We start from the raw sequence: 15924 nt of genomic DNA, 5'->3' as shown, positions 1-15924 counted from the left end.
GAAATGAAAAGTAGCACTTTTTCAAACCTCTGTTGAAAAAAGTTGGGCCAGGTGCAGTAGCTCGCGCCTATAATCTCAGCACTTTGAGAGGCTGAGGCGGGTGGATCACTTGAGGTCAGGAGTTCAAGATCAGCCTGGCCAACATGGTGAAACCCCGTCTCTAATAAAAATACAAAAAATTAGCTGGGTGTGGTGGTGCATGCCTGTGGTCCCAGCTACTTGGGAGACTGAGGCAGGAGAATCACTTGAACCCGGGAGGCGGTGGTTGCAGTGAGCTGAGATCACATCACTGCACTCCAGGGTAGGTGATAGAGCGAGACTCTGCCTCAAGAAAAAAAAAAAGGAAAAAAGAAAAAGAAAACAATTAGCTGAAGCAAATTTTGAGACTGAGCCTGAATCCAGAGGTGGGCAGAATACCCCACCTGAGCGGCAGGGCCCTGGCAGAGTGGGAGGTGAAGACTCGGACCCCTGTGTGCAGTCAGCTGTCCACGGTCACTGACTGACGCTGATCGCACATCAGCCCAGCTCTCAACCTAGGCAGGCCAGACATGGGTCTTCCTCCACCGCAGGCTGGATTCCCATCAGGCCACGGAAATCATGACATCCCTTTGTCTGCTTTTTGTATTAAACCACTGGCATCTCTGACCAACATTCAGATGGGGTATTGATGGTGTTCCTGAAGACCTTGAGTCCTGGAGTAGTAAATGCCCTCTGGGCTTCCTGCAGTGAAGACAGGAGAGGCAGCCTGTCCTCTGAACCTGGGGAGGAGCTTGTGTCAGCCCTTAGGAGCTGTTGGCCCCGGTGCAGGGCCCCCCCCGAGCTGACCAGCCTGTGTGTGTGTTGTCTTCTGTGACAGAACACCCAAACAGAAACTGAAGGAGGAGCCGGACAGAGAAGCCAGGGCAGGCGTGCAGGCTGACGAGGACGAAGATGGAGACGAGAAAGTAAAGGCGGGTTATTTGTTTCTGAACTCCCCCTCATTCTTCTGCTCCTGTTTGCTTGGGCGGGAGTGCGCAGGGTGGGGCTCTGGGTTCAAGTCCAGCCCCATCCACCCAGGCTCCATGGGGCCATCCAGACTCTGGGAAGGTCACCTTTTCCTCCTTTTGGGGGCCGGGATTTGTGGCTGGATGCCTGTGCTGGATGCCTAGTGAACACTCAGTTGTCCTCTGTCTTTCACACTAGAGAGGGTCTGTGTGAGCCTGGGCTGAGATGTGCATGAAGCATCCTCTCCTGAGGCCTCACTGCTGAGAAGCCTTGACACACAGTCAGCTCTGACGCACATGTCAGCCACACCTTTGATTCTTTCCCAGCCTCCTACGTTCTGAGTCTAGCTCTCCCCCTGCCAGCCTCCCCAGTCTAGTTTAGCCAAGTGCATGCGTTTAAACCCTAAAGCATCATGTGGAACACTGCTGGGCCTCTGTCAAAGTACAGGATGGCCAGGTTGCCTGCAGGCCCTCCTGCATGAACTCTAGGGAAGGGAGCTAGGTCATCGGTGGGGGGCGGCGGGTCCCTATCTAAGAGATGCCGAAGACCCCAAGAGGGTCTCTGGGTTTCTGCCTGTTACAATCTAGAGAGTGGAGCCCAAGGTCACGGGCTTGCTGGGTGACAAGCACCCTCACTTCTGACCCGGTCGCCAGTGGGCTTCCATCCCCACCCCATAGCAGGGGAGCCTTTGGTATTGCCTCCAGCCTCCCATCCCTCACCTCTTCTGTCCAAATGTTGGTCACCTTACTGTCAGCACTCCTTCAGACTGGAGTAGTCACATTACTCCCTGCCCTCTATTGGAAACTGGCAGGGGCCTGAGCTCACACTGCCAGCACTTTTGCCTCATGGTAGAAAGGGATGTGAGGGCTGGGCATGGTGGCTCACTACTGTAATCCCAGCACTTTGGGAGGCTGAGGTGGGTGGATCACTTGAGGTCAGGAGTCTGAGACCAGCCAGGCCAACATGGTGAAATCCGGTGTCACCTAAAAATATAAAAATTAGCCGGGCATGGTGGCATGTGCCTCTAATCCCAGCTACTTGGGAGGCTGAGGTAGGAGAATCACTTGAACCCAGGAGGCAGAGGTTGCAGTGAGCCAAGATTATGCCGCTGCACTCCAGCCTGGGCAACAGAGCGAGACTCTGTCTCAAAAAAATAATATGGTAATAATAATAAAAGCAGTGCCCAGAGAACAAGGATTGTTGGCTGTTCCACCCCAGGGGGCCCCTTGCACAGGAGGTGCCATCTCTGCCTCCCAAAGCTCTAAGAGCCACTGTCCCCCATCCCAAGAGACAGGGTCTTGCTTTGTCACCCAGGCTGGAATGCAGTGGTGCAATCACGGTTCACTGTAGCCTCGACCTCCCAGGCTCAGGTGATCTTCCCGCCTCAGCCTCCCAAGTAGCTGGGACTATAGGCAGGCACCACCATGTCCAGCTAATTTTTTTTTTTAATTTTTTGTAGAGATAGGGTTTTGCCATGTTGCCCAGGCTGGTCTCAGTCAAACTCCTAGACTCGAGTTATCCACCTATCTCAGTCCCCCAAAGTGGCGGAGTGGTAGGATTACAGGCATGAACCGTTGCATTCAGTCTGTTTGGTTTGTTCTTTTTTTTTTTTTTTTTTTTTTTTTTTTTTTTTTTTTTTTTTTTAAGATAGTCTCTCTCTGTCATGCAATGGTGTGATCTCGAGTCACTGCAACCTCCACCTCCCAGGTTCAAGTGATTCTCCTGTCTCAGCCTCCTGAGTAGCTGGGATTACAGGCGTGTGCTACTATGCCTAGCTAATTTTTATATTTTTAGTAGAGACAGGGATTCACCATGTTGGCCAGGCTGGTCTCTAACTCCTGATCTCAAACAATCCACCTGCCTCAGCCTCCCAAGGTGCTGGGATTATGTGTGTGAGGCACCACGCCCGGCGTGTTTGTTTGTTTGTTTGTTTGTTTGTTTTTGAGACAGGATCTTGCTCTGTTTCCCAGGCTAGAGTGCAGGAGTGCAGTGGTGCTATCATAGCTCACTGCAGTCTCCTGGGTTCAAGTGATCCTCCCACCTCAGCCTCCCAAGTAGCTGGCACTACAGGCATGCACCACCATGGATGTCTACTTTTTAAACTTATTTTTTGTAAGCCAGGCGCGGTGTCTCACGCCTATAATCCCAGCATTTTGGGACACTGAGGTGGGCGGATCACCTGAAGTCAGGAGTTTGAAATCAGCCTGACCAACATGGTGAAACCCCAGCTCTACTAAAAATACAGAATTAGCTGGGTGTGGTGGCGAATGCCTGTAATCCCAGCTACTAGAGAGGCCGAGGCAGGAGAATCGTTTGAACCTGAGAGGCAGAGGTGAGCCAAGATCATACCATTGCACTCCAGCCTGGGCAACAAGAGTGAATCAATCTCTCTCTCTCTCTCCATATATATGTATATATTAACCATATATATATGCTGCTTTTTGTATTAAACCACTGGCATCTCTGACCAACATTCAGATGGGGTATTGATGGTGTTCCTGAAGACCTTGAGTCCTGGAGTAGTAAATGCCCTCTGGGCTTCCTGCAGTGAAGACAGGAGAGGCAGCCTGTCCTCTGAACCTGGGGAGGAGCTTGTGTCAGCCCTTAGGAGCTGTTGGCCCCGGTGCAGGGCCCCCCGAGCTGACCAGCCTGTGTCATATATATATATAGTATATTTTGCAGAGATGGGGTCTCAGCATGTTGCCCAGGCTGGCCTCGAACTCCTGGCATCAAGCAATCCTCCTGCCTTAGCTTCCCAAAGTGCTGGGTTTACAGGCACATGCCACTGCACACAGCCTGTAAATAAAGTTTTATTGGAACAGAGCCACACTTTCTCATTTACATTTTGCCTGTGGGTGCTTTTGTGCTACCATAGCAGAGATGATCATCCTGACACAGACCACGTGGTCAGCAAAGCTGAAAATACTGATCCTCTGGCTCTTACAAAAACAGTTTGCCAAGCCCTGGTCTAGGAGGTTCTTTAGTGCCCTCTTGTTAGTTTCAGGTGGGGAATTAAGTGAGGGAAAGTGAAGCCTCGTGTCTACCCGGTAGATCTGCCCAGGCCTGCCTGTCTTCCAGCTCCACAGTGCTGGGATCCCTAACCTGTAACTTCAGTGTTTGCATTTTATCTCACTCTGGCTCAGAAACTAATTTTTTCCCTTCTTTATCTCTCTACCTCCCCCTTATTTTTCTGTCAGGATGAGAAGAAGCACAGAAGTCAACCCAAAGATCTGTAAGTGTTTAAAATGCTTGTGCTTTTGTGTCATCTGGATCAGTAGAAAGCCTGTTCTAGGCCAGGTGTGGTGGCTTGCACCTGTAATCCCAGCACTTTGGGAGGCTGAGGTGGGTGAATCACCTGAGGTCAGGAGTTCGAGACCAGCCTAGCCTGGCCAACATGGTGGAACCCTGTCTGTACTAAAAATACAAAAATTAGCTGGGTGTGGTGGCGGGTGCCTATAATCCCAGCTACTCGGAAGGCTGAGGCAGAACTGCTAGAAGCCAGGAGGTGGAGGTTGCAGTGAGCCAAGATTGCGCCACTGCACTCCAGCCTGGACAAGAGTGAAACTCTGTCTCAAAAAAAAAAAAAAAAAAAAGCCTGTTCTAGAAACCTGTGGTGATGTAGATGTGTGGGGACCCTGGGGCCTCTGAAGGCCTCGTCTCGGGATGACAAGCTGGCAGTGTGCCTATAGAGCTCCCATGGGTATCTTGCTTTCCCATGGGGAGGCATTAGTTTGTCACTTTCCGTGCGAGTTGGCGATGTGGTTAGTGTTTCTAAGCTGCTACTTGCTGTGTATCTGTTCACCCTGCAGAGCTGCCAAACGGAGGCCCGAAGAAAAAGAACCTGAAAAAGTAAATCCACAGATTTCTGATGAAAAAGACGAGGATGAAAAGGTAAAGGTCTCACTTTTCTTTCTTTCTTTTTTTTTTTTTTTTTTTTCCCCAAGACGGGGTTTCGCCATGTTGCCCAGGCTGGTCTTAGGAAAAAGAAGACTGGGCGTGGTGGCGCACGCCTGTAATCCCAGCACTTTGAGAGGCTGAAGCGGGTGAATCACATGAGGTCAGGAGTTCAAGACCAGCCTGACCAATATGGTGAAACCCTGTCTCTACTAAAAATACAAAAATTATCTGGGCATGGTGGTGCACGCCCGTAGTCCCAGCTACTCGAGAGGCTGAGATAGGAGAATCGCTTGAGCCTGGGAGGTGGAGGTTGCAGTGAGCCGAGATCGCACTCCAGGCTGGGGACACAGCAAAATTAGCTGGGCGTGGTGGCATATGCCTGTAGTCCCAGCTGCTTGGAAGCCTGAGGCATGAGAATTGCTTGAACCCAGGAGGCGGAGATTGCTGTGAGCTGAGATCGTGCCACTGTACTCCTGCCTGGACAACAGAGCAAGACTCTGTCTCAAAAAAAAAAAAAAATGCTGGGCACAGCGGCTCACGCCTGTCTTTTCAGCACTTTGGGAGGCCAAGGCAGGCGCATCACCTGAGGTCAGGAGTTTGAAACCAGCCTGGACAACATGGTGAAACCCTGTCTCTACTAAAAATACAAAAATTAGCCAGTTGTGGTGATAGGGGCCTGTAATCCCAGCTGCTTGGGAAGCTGAGGCAGGAGAGTCACTTGAACCCAGGAGGTAGAGGTTGCAGTGAGCCGAGATCACACCATTGCACTCCAGGCTGGGGACACAGCAAGACTCTGTCTCAAAACCAACAACAAAAAATACAAGGACATTGGTCTTATTGGATGGGGCCCCACCTTTATTACCTCATTTAACCATAATTGTCTCTTAAAGACTCTACATCCAAATACAGTCACATAGCAGGTTAGTCTTAACATATGAATTTTGCAGGGGACATGACTCGGTCTGTATACCCCCTCATCAATTGTTTGCTTACCTTTACATTTTAGTATTTATTTTTGAGACAGGGTCTCACTCTTGTCGAGGCTGGAGTGCAGTGGTACAGTCATAGCTACCATAGCCGCAAACTCCTGGGCTGAAGCAATCCTCCCACCTGGGCCTTCAAGGTAGCTGGGACTACAGGCAGATGGCACTACACCCAGTTAACTTTCTATTTTTGTAGAGACAGGGTTTTACTGTGTTGCCCAGGCTGGTCTTGAGCTCCTGTGCTCAAGCAGTCCTCCCACCTGGGCTTCTTCAAGTGCTGGAATTACAGGCATGGGCCACTGTGCCTGGCCAGTTATTTATTTATTTATTTATTTATTTATTTATTTATTTATTTACTTATGTATTTGTTTTTTGAGACAGAGTCTCGCTCTGCCGCCAGGCTGGAGTACAGTGGTGCGACATCGGCTCACTGCAACCTCTGTCTCCCTGGTTCAAGCTATTCTCCTGCCTCAGCCTCCTGAGTAGCTGGGACTACAGGCATGCGCCACCGCGCCCAACTAATTTTTGTATTTTTAGTAGAGACAGGGTTTCACCATCTTGGCGAGGATGGTCTCAATCTCTTGATCTCGTGATCCATCCGCCTCGGTCTCCCAAAGTGCTGGGATTACAGGCGTGAGCCATCGCGCCCGGCCCTGTGCCTGGCCAATTATTTGTTTACCTTGAGGTGTCCACTTACACAGGAAAGCTAAGGTTTTAAAAAATTGGCTTTTCCTCTAAATCTTTTCAGGAAGTCTTTGGTTATGAGATTTATTTATTCATTTATTTTGAGATGGAGTCTCACTCACTCTGTCGCCCAGGCTGGAATGCAGTGGCATGATCTCTGCTTACTGCAACCTCTACGTCTCGGGTTCAAGCAATTCTTCTGCCTCAGCCTTCTGAGTATCTGAGATTACAAGTGCCCGCCTGGCTAATCTTTGTATTTTTGGTAGAGACGTGATTTCGCCATGTTGGCCAGGCTGGTCTGGAACTCCTGACCTCCAGTCATCTGTGTGCCTTGGCCTCCCAAAGTGCTGGGATTACAGGCATGAGCCACTGTGCTGGGCCTGACTATAAGATTTTGTATTCTATGACTTTAGATGGTAGAGTGAGTCAGAGCTCACCTGCTGGCCCTCTCACTGCCTCCCTCCCCTTCTCTCTGTTTTATGATAATCACTTATACAAAGTTCTTAACACCGAAGCACTATCTGGGTGTAAAACACTCTCTTAGCCTTTAATCCTCTTTTGTTTTCCCTGTGTAGGAGGAGAAGAGACGCAAAACGACCCCCAAAGAACCGTAAGAATTTATTCTTGACATTATCGAAAGCAGATGGTAATGTTAAAATGATGGTTCTAGAACAAAAGGGAAGGGGTTTCAGTAATTGCCAGAGCAACCTTAGGCTCATTTTGGATCGGGTTGGTGAACATAGGACCAAGGTGCGTCAGGCAGGATGCCCCTGCGGTGAAGAGCCACTGTGACCACGCGCCTGGGCCTCACTGCCACAGCCGGTGCCTCCCTGTGCCACAGGCACCTCAGGCAGAAACCTCACAGGGGCGATTTTGATATTTTCTGAAACAATTAAACAAACGATCTTGTGATTTTTTTTTTTCCCCCAGAACGGAGAAAAAAATGGCTCGCGCCAAAACAGTCATGAACTCCAAGGTAAACATCTGCCGGGAATAAAGCCGGTGGCGGCGCTCACGAGGCGGCTGGGAGCTGCTCTCTGAGTGCCATCATCTGTGTTCCTGCTCCCACAGACCCACCCTCCCAAGTGCATTCAGTGCGGGCAGTACCTGGACGACCCTGACCTCAAATATGGGCAGCACCCACCAGACGCGGTACGTACAGCTCTCTTCCCAGCCTTCCTCTGCCTGTCCCTTGTCCCACTGCTCACCAGCCCCGTGTCCTTCAGGTGGATGAGCCACAGATGCTGACAAATGAGAAGCTGTCCATCTTTGATGCCAACGAGTCTGGCTTTGAGAGTTATGAGGCGCTTCCCCAGCACAAACTGACCTGCTTCAGGTAAGTGCACTTTCGTGTGCATGTTTGCTTCGTGGAAGGAGGCACATCCCCAGAGGTGCCTGCGGGCTCACGATTCTGGTGATGTTTTTTAGTGCCTGACCTGCAACATGTCTTAAGCTAACACTTCGTGGATAAGAGCCACCGTGGAGGGCTGGGCGCGGTGGCTCATGCCTGTAATCCTAGCACTTTGGGAGGCCGAGGTGAGCAGATCACTTCAGGTCAGGAGTTCGAGACCAGCCTGGCCAACATGGCGAAACCTACCGAAAATACAAAAAGTAGCCAGGTGTGGTGGTACGCGACTGTAATCCCAACTACTCGAGAGGCTTAGGCAGGAGAATTTCTTGAACTCTGGAGGCGGAGGCTGCAGTGAGCCGAGGTGGTGCCACTGCATTCCAGCCTGGGCGACAGAGCAAGACTCCGTCTCAAAGAGCCACGTGGAAAGCTGATGAAGGGACAATAGAGCTTTGCTGATTTTTGGTTTGGTTTTTGGGTTTTTACACTACACATATTACCCCTCCATTCTGCCCACATCCTGAGGGTCACACGCTCAGATGAAGGCCTACTCTGTGCTAGGTACCAGTGATCTAGGTGTCGTGGATGTAGCTGCTCAGGTCCTGCCTTCACGGAGCCAGAAATGGGTGATACCTGTCGGGTAGTGACAGCCACGACAGATTTTAAAAGCCTGGTGACATGCAGAGAGAATAAGTGGGAGGAGGAAGTTCTGTGAAGACGGGAGAGGTAATGATTTTCAGTAAAGACCTTGATGGCCTGTGAGAGAAGAGGCCGAGGGGATGGCCGGGGTGGGGCACCCTAGGTAGAAGGGGACACCATTACCAGGGCTCGGAGGGGCCTGTGCCAGCTGTGGAAGGTGAATGGTGAGTCTGGTGTGGTGGTTGCTGGGTTGGGGCTGGGCCACACAGGGCCTTGCAGGCCTCAGCACTGACTCTCCTGTCCTCTGAGGGAAGGTGCCTGGCGTCCGGCCCGTACCTTCACCGAGGCTCACGTCAGCTCTTGAGTGGGCAGAGGCCCTGTGCTCTCAGGCATCCCCAGCCCCATTTTGCTCCCTCTCCCTGCGGGTGCAGTTACCCTCCAGGGCTTCACCTTGTTCTTCGTGGGAAATGCCTCAGCTCCAGGAACGGCCCTGCCTCCTTTTAGGCCTGGGTGGTATTTTCCCTCTCTGTGAAGAGGAGGGGGAAGTGCCTTGGGGACCCCTGTTGGAAGCACCCCCAGGCAGCGGTTCCTGTACCCACTGGGAGGGCACCCACACGTTCCCCGTGCTTGGCTGATGGTTGTTCCCCTCCCTCTCCTTCTATGGGATCCTTCTATCTAGATCAAGATGCTGTTGCGTCCACCAGCAACCGCTAGCCCCCCGAGGCCTGGCCCAAAGCAGGGCCACACACCTCTGCCTGCTGGTGTGAGTGAGGTGTGCTGTGGTGGGCAGAGCTGGCAACCATGCCCGAGGGCCTCACTCTGGCCTTCACCAGGGACAAAGGCTTGGGGGAGCCTGGGGCTGGGGCTGCCAGAGTCCTGAGTGTCTCAGCTTCCTCCCTAAGTTGAGATCTATCATAGATTCGTTCCTGGAGGGTGGATGGTGGCCTGGAGGACACTTTCCAGAAGTCACATGCCTTCTGTCCACTGGAGCTGGACTGCCTGAGTTATTTAGGGGCTCTCCATACTGCTGTACTTGGCTTGAAACTGGCGATAGAAGCCAGTCATGGGTGGGGTCTGGCCTACCAACCAGTGGGTCCTGCCCCTGCCTGGGGCTTAGAGCTTCTCTCCCATGTCTCCCCTATGGAGAGAGCCTCCAGCCCACCTGTGCAGCGGGGAGCGGGACCCCCTCTTCTGTAGGCCCTCCCTTGATCCACGCTGGCTTCATCTCTCTGTCTCTTCTTCTGGGCCTTACATCCTGAGGCAGGGCTGCAACCTATTCTGTCTGCCATGCCTGGTACGCAGTAGGGGAGCTCCGCAGGAGGTATGCAGTGTTTTGTTTGAGCCTTTCTGGCTTCCAAGGCACTAAGCTGGGTGAGTGTGGTGGAGGGTGCTCTCCAGAGACCTGTGCAGACTTCATATGGGGGCTCTGAGGATAGCCCAGCATCTTTGGCCGGGAAAGGGTGGTCCTTGTCTAGATGAGCAGGTTTGTAAGCAGAACACCCAGTTCATGTCTTTTTCCTTGAGTTTGACATCTTGCCTCTCTGTCTTCACTAAAGAACGTGCTCCCGAATGTCAAGGGGCATCTGGACAGTGGGGCCGCAGGTGTTTGAGATTTATGCCCAAAAGGAGGCAGAAGTCCTTCCTTCCCACATCCCTTTTCACACTGTTCTATAACCTGCTTTATTTTCTAAATTGAGGTCTAACTCGTATAATATAAAATTAACCATATGAGGTATCTTGAATAGGTGAATTCATAGGTATAGAAAGCAGATTGGTGGTTGCCGGGGGCTGGGGGCTGAGGGCCGGTTGGGAGGAGACTGGAGAGTGACTGCTACTTGATGGGAATGAGGCTTTATTAACATTTGAGTGACAGAAATGTTCTGCAGCTGAATAGAGCTAGTGGCTGCACTGCATAGTAGAAGGTGTTCTAGAAACCGGTATTTCCCGCACTGTAAGTCTGACTGATCTTTTGGTGTTGCTGTTGCAGACACACATACACTTGATGCTTAGGTGGGAGAATAAGGTAGAAACTCTGGGTGATAGAACGCTGTCTTAATCCAGTGTTCCCGCAACCAAAAAATGAGTGTCGGGGCCAGGCATGGTGGTTCAGCCTGTAATCCCAGCACTTTGGGAGGCTGAGGTGGGTAGATCACTGGAGATAAAGAGTTTGAGACCAGCCTGCTACACATAGTGAAACCCCGTCCCTACTAAAAATACAACAATTAGCCGGGCATGGTGGTTCAGGCCTGTAATCCCAGCTACTCGGGAGGCTGAGGCAGGAGAATTACTTGAACCCGGGAGGTGGAGGCTGCAGTGAGCCAAGATTATGCCATCGCGCTCCAGCCTGAGGGATAGAGCAAGACTCTGTCTCAAAAACAAACAAAAAAAGAGTGTCAGACTTGTACATTCTCTCATTGCCTCGTGCCTGATCTGAAGTCTGCACGAAGACCCGCCTTCACGGCTTAGCTGGTAAGCATGTGCTTTGTTTCCTGTCTAGTGTGTACTGTAAGCACGGTCACCTGTGTCCCATCGACACCGGCCTCATCGAGAAGAATATCGAACTCTTCTTTTCTGGTTCAGCAAAACCAATCTATGATGATGACCCATCTCTTGAAGGTAAGGAATAGTCCGGGATTATGTTTGGGGCACACTTTAAAAACAGCCAGGCAGGGTGGCTCACATCTGTAATCCTAGCACTTTGGGGGTCTGAGGCCAGAGGATCACTTGAGCCCGGGAGTTTGAGACGAGCCTGGACAACATAGCAAGAGCCTGCCTCTATTAAAAAAAAATATATAGCATATATATATAGTATACATATATACTTATATATATGTATAAATAAAAAACATACTTATGAAGCAATAGTCAGCTGGAGTTGCTGCTGCCTCTTAAAGTTAGGGTGTGAGACTTTGTGCCAGGAGCAGCTGTAGGCCAAGTCATTGTGATGACTGAGGAGCACCCGACCTGGCTGATGGGATGTCTGCTGAGTGGGCGCTTAGAGCGCCTCCTGGGTTTGGGATGTGAGTCAGAGCCTTTAGTCCATTTCCTTTTTCTGCTCTAGGTGGTGTTAATGGCAAAAATCTTGGCCCCATAAATGAATGGTGGATCACTGGCTTTGATGGAGGTGAAAAGGCCCTCATCGGCTTCAGCACCTGTAAGTGTGTGGCCCATCATAGGCTGGCCGGGGTCTGAAAGGGGCCTTCATGTTCTCCTTCCTGGGGGCTGACGGGGCTCTGGTGGGAATTCTCAGCAGGCTTGCAGAAGGCCATGTGACTGGGAACCTTAGCAGGTTCAGTTGGGGTAGCCTCTTGTGTTAGTTATGACTGGCTCTGGAACTGACTCTCCAGTTGTAAGAGCAGGTCTTGGCCGGATATGGTGGCTCACACCTGTAATCCCAGCACTTTGGGAGGCCGAGTTGGGGGGATCATTTGAGGCCAGGAATTCGAGACCAGCCTAGCCTGGCCAACATGGTGAAACCCCCTCTCTACCAAAAATACAAAAATTAGCCACGCATGGTGGTGCATACCTGTAATCCCAGCTACTTGGGAGGCTATGGCAGGAGAATCACGTGAACCCAGCAGACAGAGGTTGCAGTGAGCCGAGATCACGCCACTGCCCTCCAGCCTGGGTGACGGAGCAAGACTCTGTCCTCCCCTGAAAAAAAAAAAAGAGCAGGTCTTATTCTTGCAACCCAAACCCAGACTGAATTCCAAACACCAGAGATGAGCTCAATGAAGGCCTACTCAGCTAGTCTTCGCTCTCTGGCTGGCTCAGACAGGCTTCTTCAGAACAAGCCAGCTATGATGTGTTGTGCCCTATGTTTCTGACATTTGGGTACGGGATGACTTTTAGACTGTTGGGTGAGTTTGGTAGACTCCTCCATGCCCTGTGGCCACTGTAGGCGCCATCAGATTCCAGCCCCTTTTCCACACCTCCTCTGTTCACCCCAGCATTTGCCGAATACATTCTGATGGATCCCAGTCCCGAGTATGCGCCCATATTTGGGCTGATGCAGGAGAAGATCTACATCAGCAAGATTGTGGTGGAGTTCCTGCAGAGCAATTCCGACTCGACCTATGAGGACCTGATCAACAAGATCGAGGTAAGAGATCGAGGGTCCTCAGCATCCGGGATTCCCACTGGAAACTTGCCTTCAGAACCAGCAGACACTGTTCTTCAGTTGGATTTAGGCCAGTTTGGCTTAAGCATGAGAGAAACCTGTTCTCTTTCAAGACCACGGTTCCTCCTTCTGGCCTCAACTTGAACCGCTTCACAGAGGACTCCCTCCTGCGACACGCGCAGTTTGTGGTGGAGCAGGTGGAGAGTTATGACGAGGCCGGGGACAGTGATGAGCAGCCCATCTTCCTGACACCCTGCATGCGGGACCTGATCAAGCTGGCTGGGGTCACGCTGGGACAGAGGTAAGGATGCGGCAGGGACCAGAGTGAAGACTGGAGACCGGGGAGGGTAGAGCATGGCCCACATCCTCTGTCCCAGTCCTCTGAGATGCTGGAACCTCTCCCGTAGGCGAGCCCAGGCGAGGCGGCAGACCATCAGGCATTCTACCAGGGAGAAGGACAGGGGACCCACGAAAGCCACCACCACCAAGCTGGTCTACCAGATCTTCGATACTTTCTTCGCAGAGCAAATTGAAAAGGATGACAGAGAAGACAAGGAGAACGCCTTTAAGCGCCGGCGATGTGGCGTCTGTGAGGTAACCTCACCTGTGGGTGCTCCCGCTCCCCTAAGGTGGCCCAGCCTCTGGCCTGATCTGAGGACTGCTCCATCTTTCTCTCTGTGGCTTGAGACTCTGGCTGCTCAAATGTGACCCCTGAGACAGAAATTAGTTAGTGGTCTGGGAGGACCCTGCATACTTCATTGAACGTCAATAGGACAGATGTCCACAGAGGCATGCTTGGGTGCTTTGCTGATAATGCCACTGTCCTTAATTGAAGAGCCTGGCTTCTGGGTGGCTCTGCTGTGCCTGCATCTCACAGTCTGAAGGCCCCTGTTGGACTGCTAAAGGGGTATTCACATCTAAGTGGGCACTTTGTCCAGCTTAGATTTGAGGCCCTCAGGAGGCGTCCCTTTCTGTGAGTTTTTAAAATATATGTTTACTTCACTCAGGAGGAACTAACTTCCTAGTCCTATGACCCAAAGACCAGGACTATTTTGATACCTATTACCTGACTTTCTTTTGGATAAAGACTGGCTTCAGGGCTTTGCTTTTGATCCCCGCTGGCATCTCTTAACAGGAGCCTGCATGTCCTCACCATTGTTATTTTGGTTTTATTTTATTTTTCTTGGTTAACACACGTGTGTCCAATGTTTTATAACTTCTAAAATCTTTTTTTTTTTTTTTTAATTTTTTTGAGACAGTCTCTCTCTGTCACCCAGGCTAGAGTGCAGTGGCACCATCTCAGCTCACCGTAACCTCCGCCTCCCGGGTTCAATCAGTTCTCCCACCTCAGCCTCCCGAGTGGCTGGGATTATAGGCACCCGCCACCATACCCGGCTAATTTTTTTTGTATTTTTAGTAGAGATGGGGTTTCACCATGTTGGCCAGGCTGGTCTTAAACTCCTGACCTTAAGTGATCTACCTACCTCGGCCTCCCAAAGTGCTGGGATTACAGGTGTGAGCCACTGTGCCCAGCCCTAAAATCATTTGTTTTTATTTGTGTAACTGTTACGTGTTGATACTGGTAGATCTAGTTATTTCATTTTAAATATTCTGTAGTATTTTGTTAAATGAATATCCTAACTTACTCCTCAATGATAGGCACCTCTTCAGTATTGTAAATATGTGGCAGCATCCTTGAGCAAAGCTTCTCGCGAGTGTATCTGCTTAGAAGTAGCGTTGCTGGGTTGTGGGTGTGTATTCTTAACTTTGATCTAGAAGATTGCTCTCCAAAATGGTTCTACCAACTTACCATTTGAGCAGTGTGCGTTCTTCTTTCCTCACACCACCTATCTGGCTTCTTAACCCATCTGGAGAATGGGAAGGGAATTTTATTTCTCTCACTTACCATATTTCTAATGAGGTTGAATATTGCTTTTTTTTTTTTTTTTTGTAGAGACAGGGTCCTGCTGTGTTGCCTTGCCTGGTCTCAAACTCCTGGCTTCAAGTGGTCCTCCTGTCTTGGCCTCCCAAACTGCCGGGATTAGAGGCATGAGGCACTGCACCCAGCCAAATAGGCACATTTTTAAAAGTCTTGGTTTTGTTGTTGTTGTTGTTGTTGTTGTTGTTGAGATGGGTCTCGTTCTGTCACCCAGTCTGGAATGCAGTGGCATGATTGTAGCTCACTGCATTCTCAACCTACTGGGCTCAAGTGATCTTCCCACCTTAGCCTCCCAAGTAGCTGGGACCACAGGTGCACGCCACCATGCCCAGCTAATTAAAAAAAAACATTTTGTAGATGGGATTTTGCCATGTTGCCTAGGCTGGTCTTGAATGCCTGAACTCAAGCAGTCCTCCCGCCTTAGCATCCTGAGTTGCCGGGACTGCAGGAATTTGTCACACGCCTGGCTAATTTTAATTTTTTGTAGAGTTGGGGGTCTTAATATGTTGCCCAGGCTGGTCTTGAACTCTTGGACTCAAGTGATCCATCTACCTCTGCTTCAGCCTCCCAATGTACTGGTTCAGGTATGAGCCACCATGCCCAGCCTAAAAGTCTTAATTCACCGTTTGTTTCATTGTTGCTAAGGGCTGTGTGACTCACTTTTTTTTTTTTTTTTTAATTTTTTGAGACCTAAAAGTCTTAATGCATCATTTGTCTCATTGTTAGTAAGGGCTGTGTGATTTGCCCTTTTTTTTTCCTTTTTTTTTTTTTTTTTTTTTTTTTTTTTGAGATGGAGTTTTACTCTTGTCGTCCAGGCTGGAATATGGTGGTGTGATCTTGGCTAACTGTAATCTCCACCTCCCAGGTTCAGGCAATTCTCCTGCCTCAGCCTCCCAAGTAGCTGGGATTACAGGCACACCCTACCATGCCTGGCTAATCTTTGTATTTTTAGTAGAGATGGGGTTTCACCACGTTGGCCAGGCTGGTCTGCAATTCCTGACCTTAAGTGATCTGCCTGCCTCGGCCTTCTGAAATACTGGGATTACAGGCATGAACCACTGTGCCCAGCCCTGATTTGCCTTTTTAATGCCATTTTTTAGGTGTGTCAGCAGCCTGAGTGTGGGAAATGTAAAGCCTGCAAGGACATGGTTAAATTTGGTGGCAGTGGACGGAGCAAGCAGGCTTGCCAAGAGCGGAGGTAGGTCAGGCCGAGTCTTCCTCCTGTGGCAGAGGACTTGCCAGCTGGTGGCAGATGCACTGTGGAGAAGGGCCTGCATGTGTGGGACAGCACCAGGATTCCTTCGTTAGGCATTGTCTCAGGACCTGTCCC

At 50.6% G+C, this 15924-nt stretch overlaps 1 protein-coding gene across 4 annotated transcripts in view; it reads left to right on the top strand.

Moving 5' to 3' along the window:
* The window catches only part of DNMT1 (DNA methyltransferase 1), a 61608-nt gene that overhangs the window by 27412 nt on the left and 18272 nt on the right, over positions 1 to 15924 (top strand). For all 4 annotated transcript variants that reach the window (NM_001318731.2, NM_001379.4, NM_001318730.2 and 1 more), the window contains 13 exons: positions 857 to 944; positions 4182 to 4216; positions 4794 to 4875; positions 7124 to 7158; positions 7479 to 7524; positions 7620 to 7700; positions 7775 to 7884; positions 11033 to 11151; positions 11597 to 11689; positions 12486 to 12637; positions 12769 to 12956; positions 13063 to 13249; positions 15695 to 15792. In NM_001318731.2, coding sequence (NP_001305660.1) covers positions 857 to 944; positions 4182 to 4216; positions 4794 to 4875; positions 7124 to 7158; positions 7479 to 7524; positions 7620 to 7700; positions 7775 to 7884; positions 11033 to 11151; positions 11597 to 11689; positions 12486 to 12637; positions 12769 to 12956; positions 13063 to 13249; positions 15695 to 15792 — 1314 coding nt within the window. The remainder of the gene's footprint in view (positions 1 to 856; positions 945 to 4181; positions 4217 to 4793; positions 4876 to 7123; positions 7159 to 7478; positions 7525 to 7619; positions 7701 to 7774; positions 7885 to 11032; positions 11152 to 11596; positions 11690 to 12485; positions 12638 to 12768; positions 12957 to 13062; positions 13250 to 15694; positions 15793 to 15924) is intronic.

This window comes from Homo sapiens, chromosome 19 (genome assembly GCF_000001405.40).
Source record: "Homo sapiens chromosome 19, GRCh38.p14 Primary Assembly".
Lineage (NCBI taxonomy): Eukaryota > Metazoa > Chordata > Mammalia > Primates > Hominidae > Homo > Homo sapiens.
This window is presented reverse-complemented; position numbering and strand designations above follow the sequence as displayed.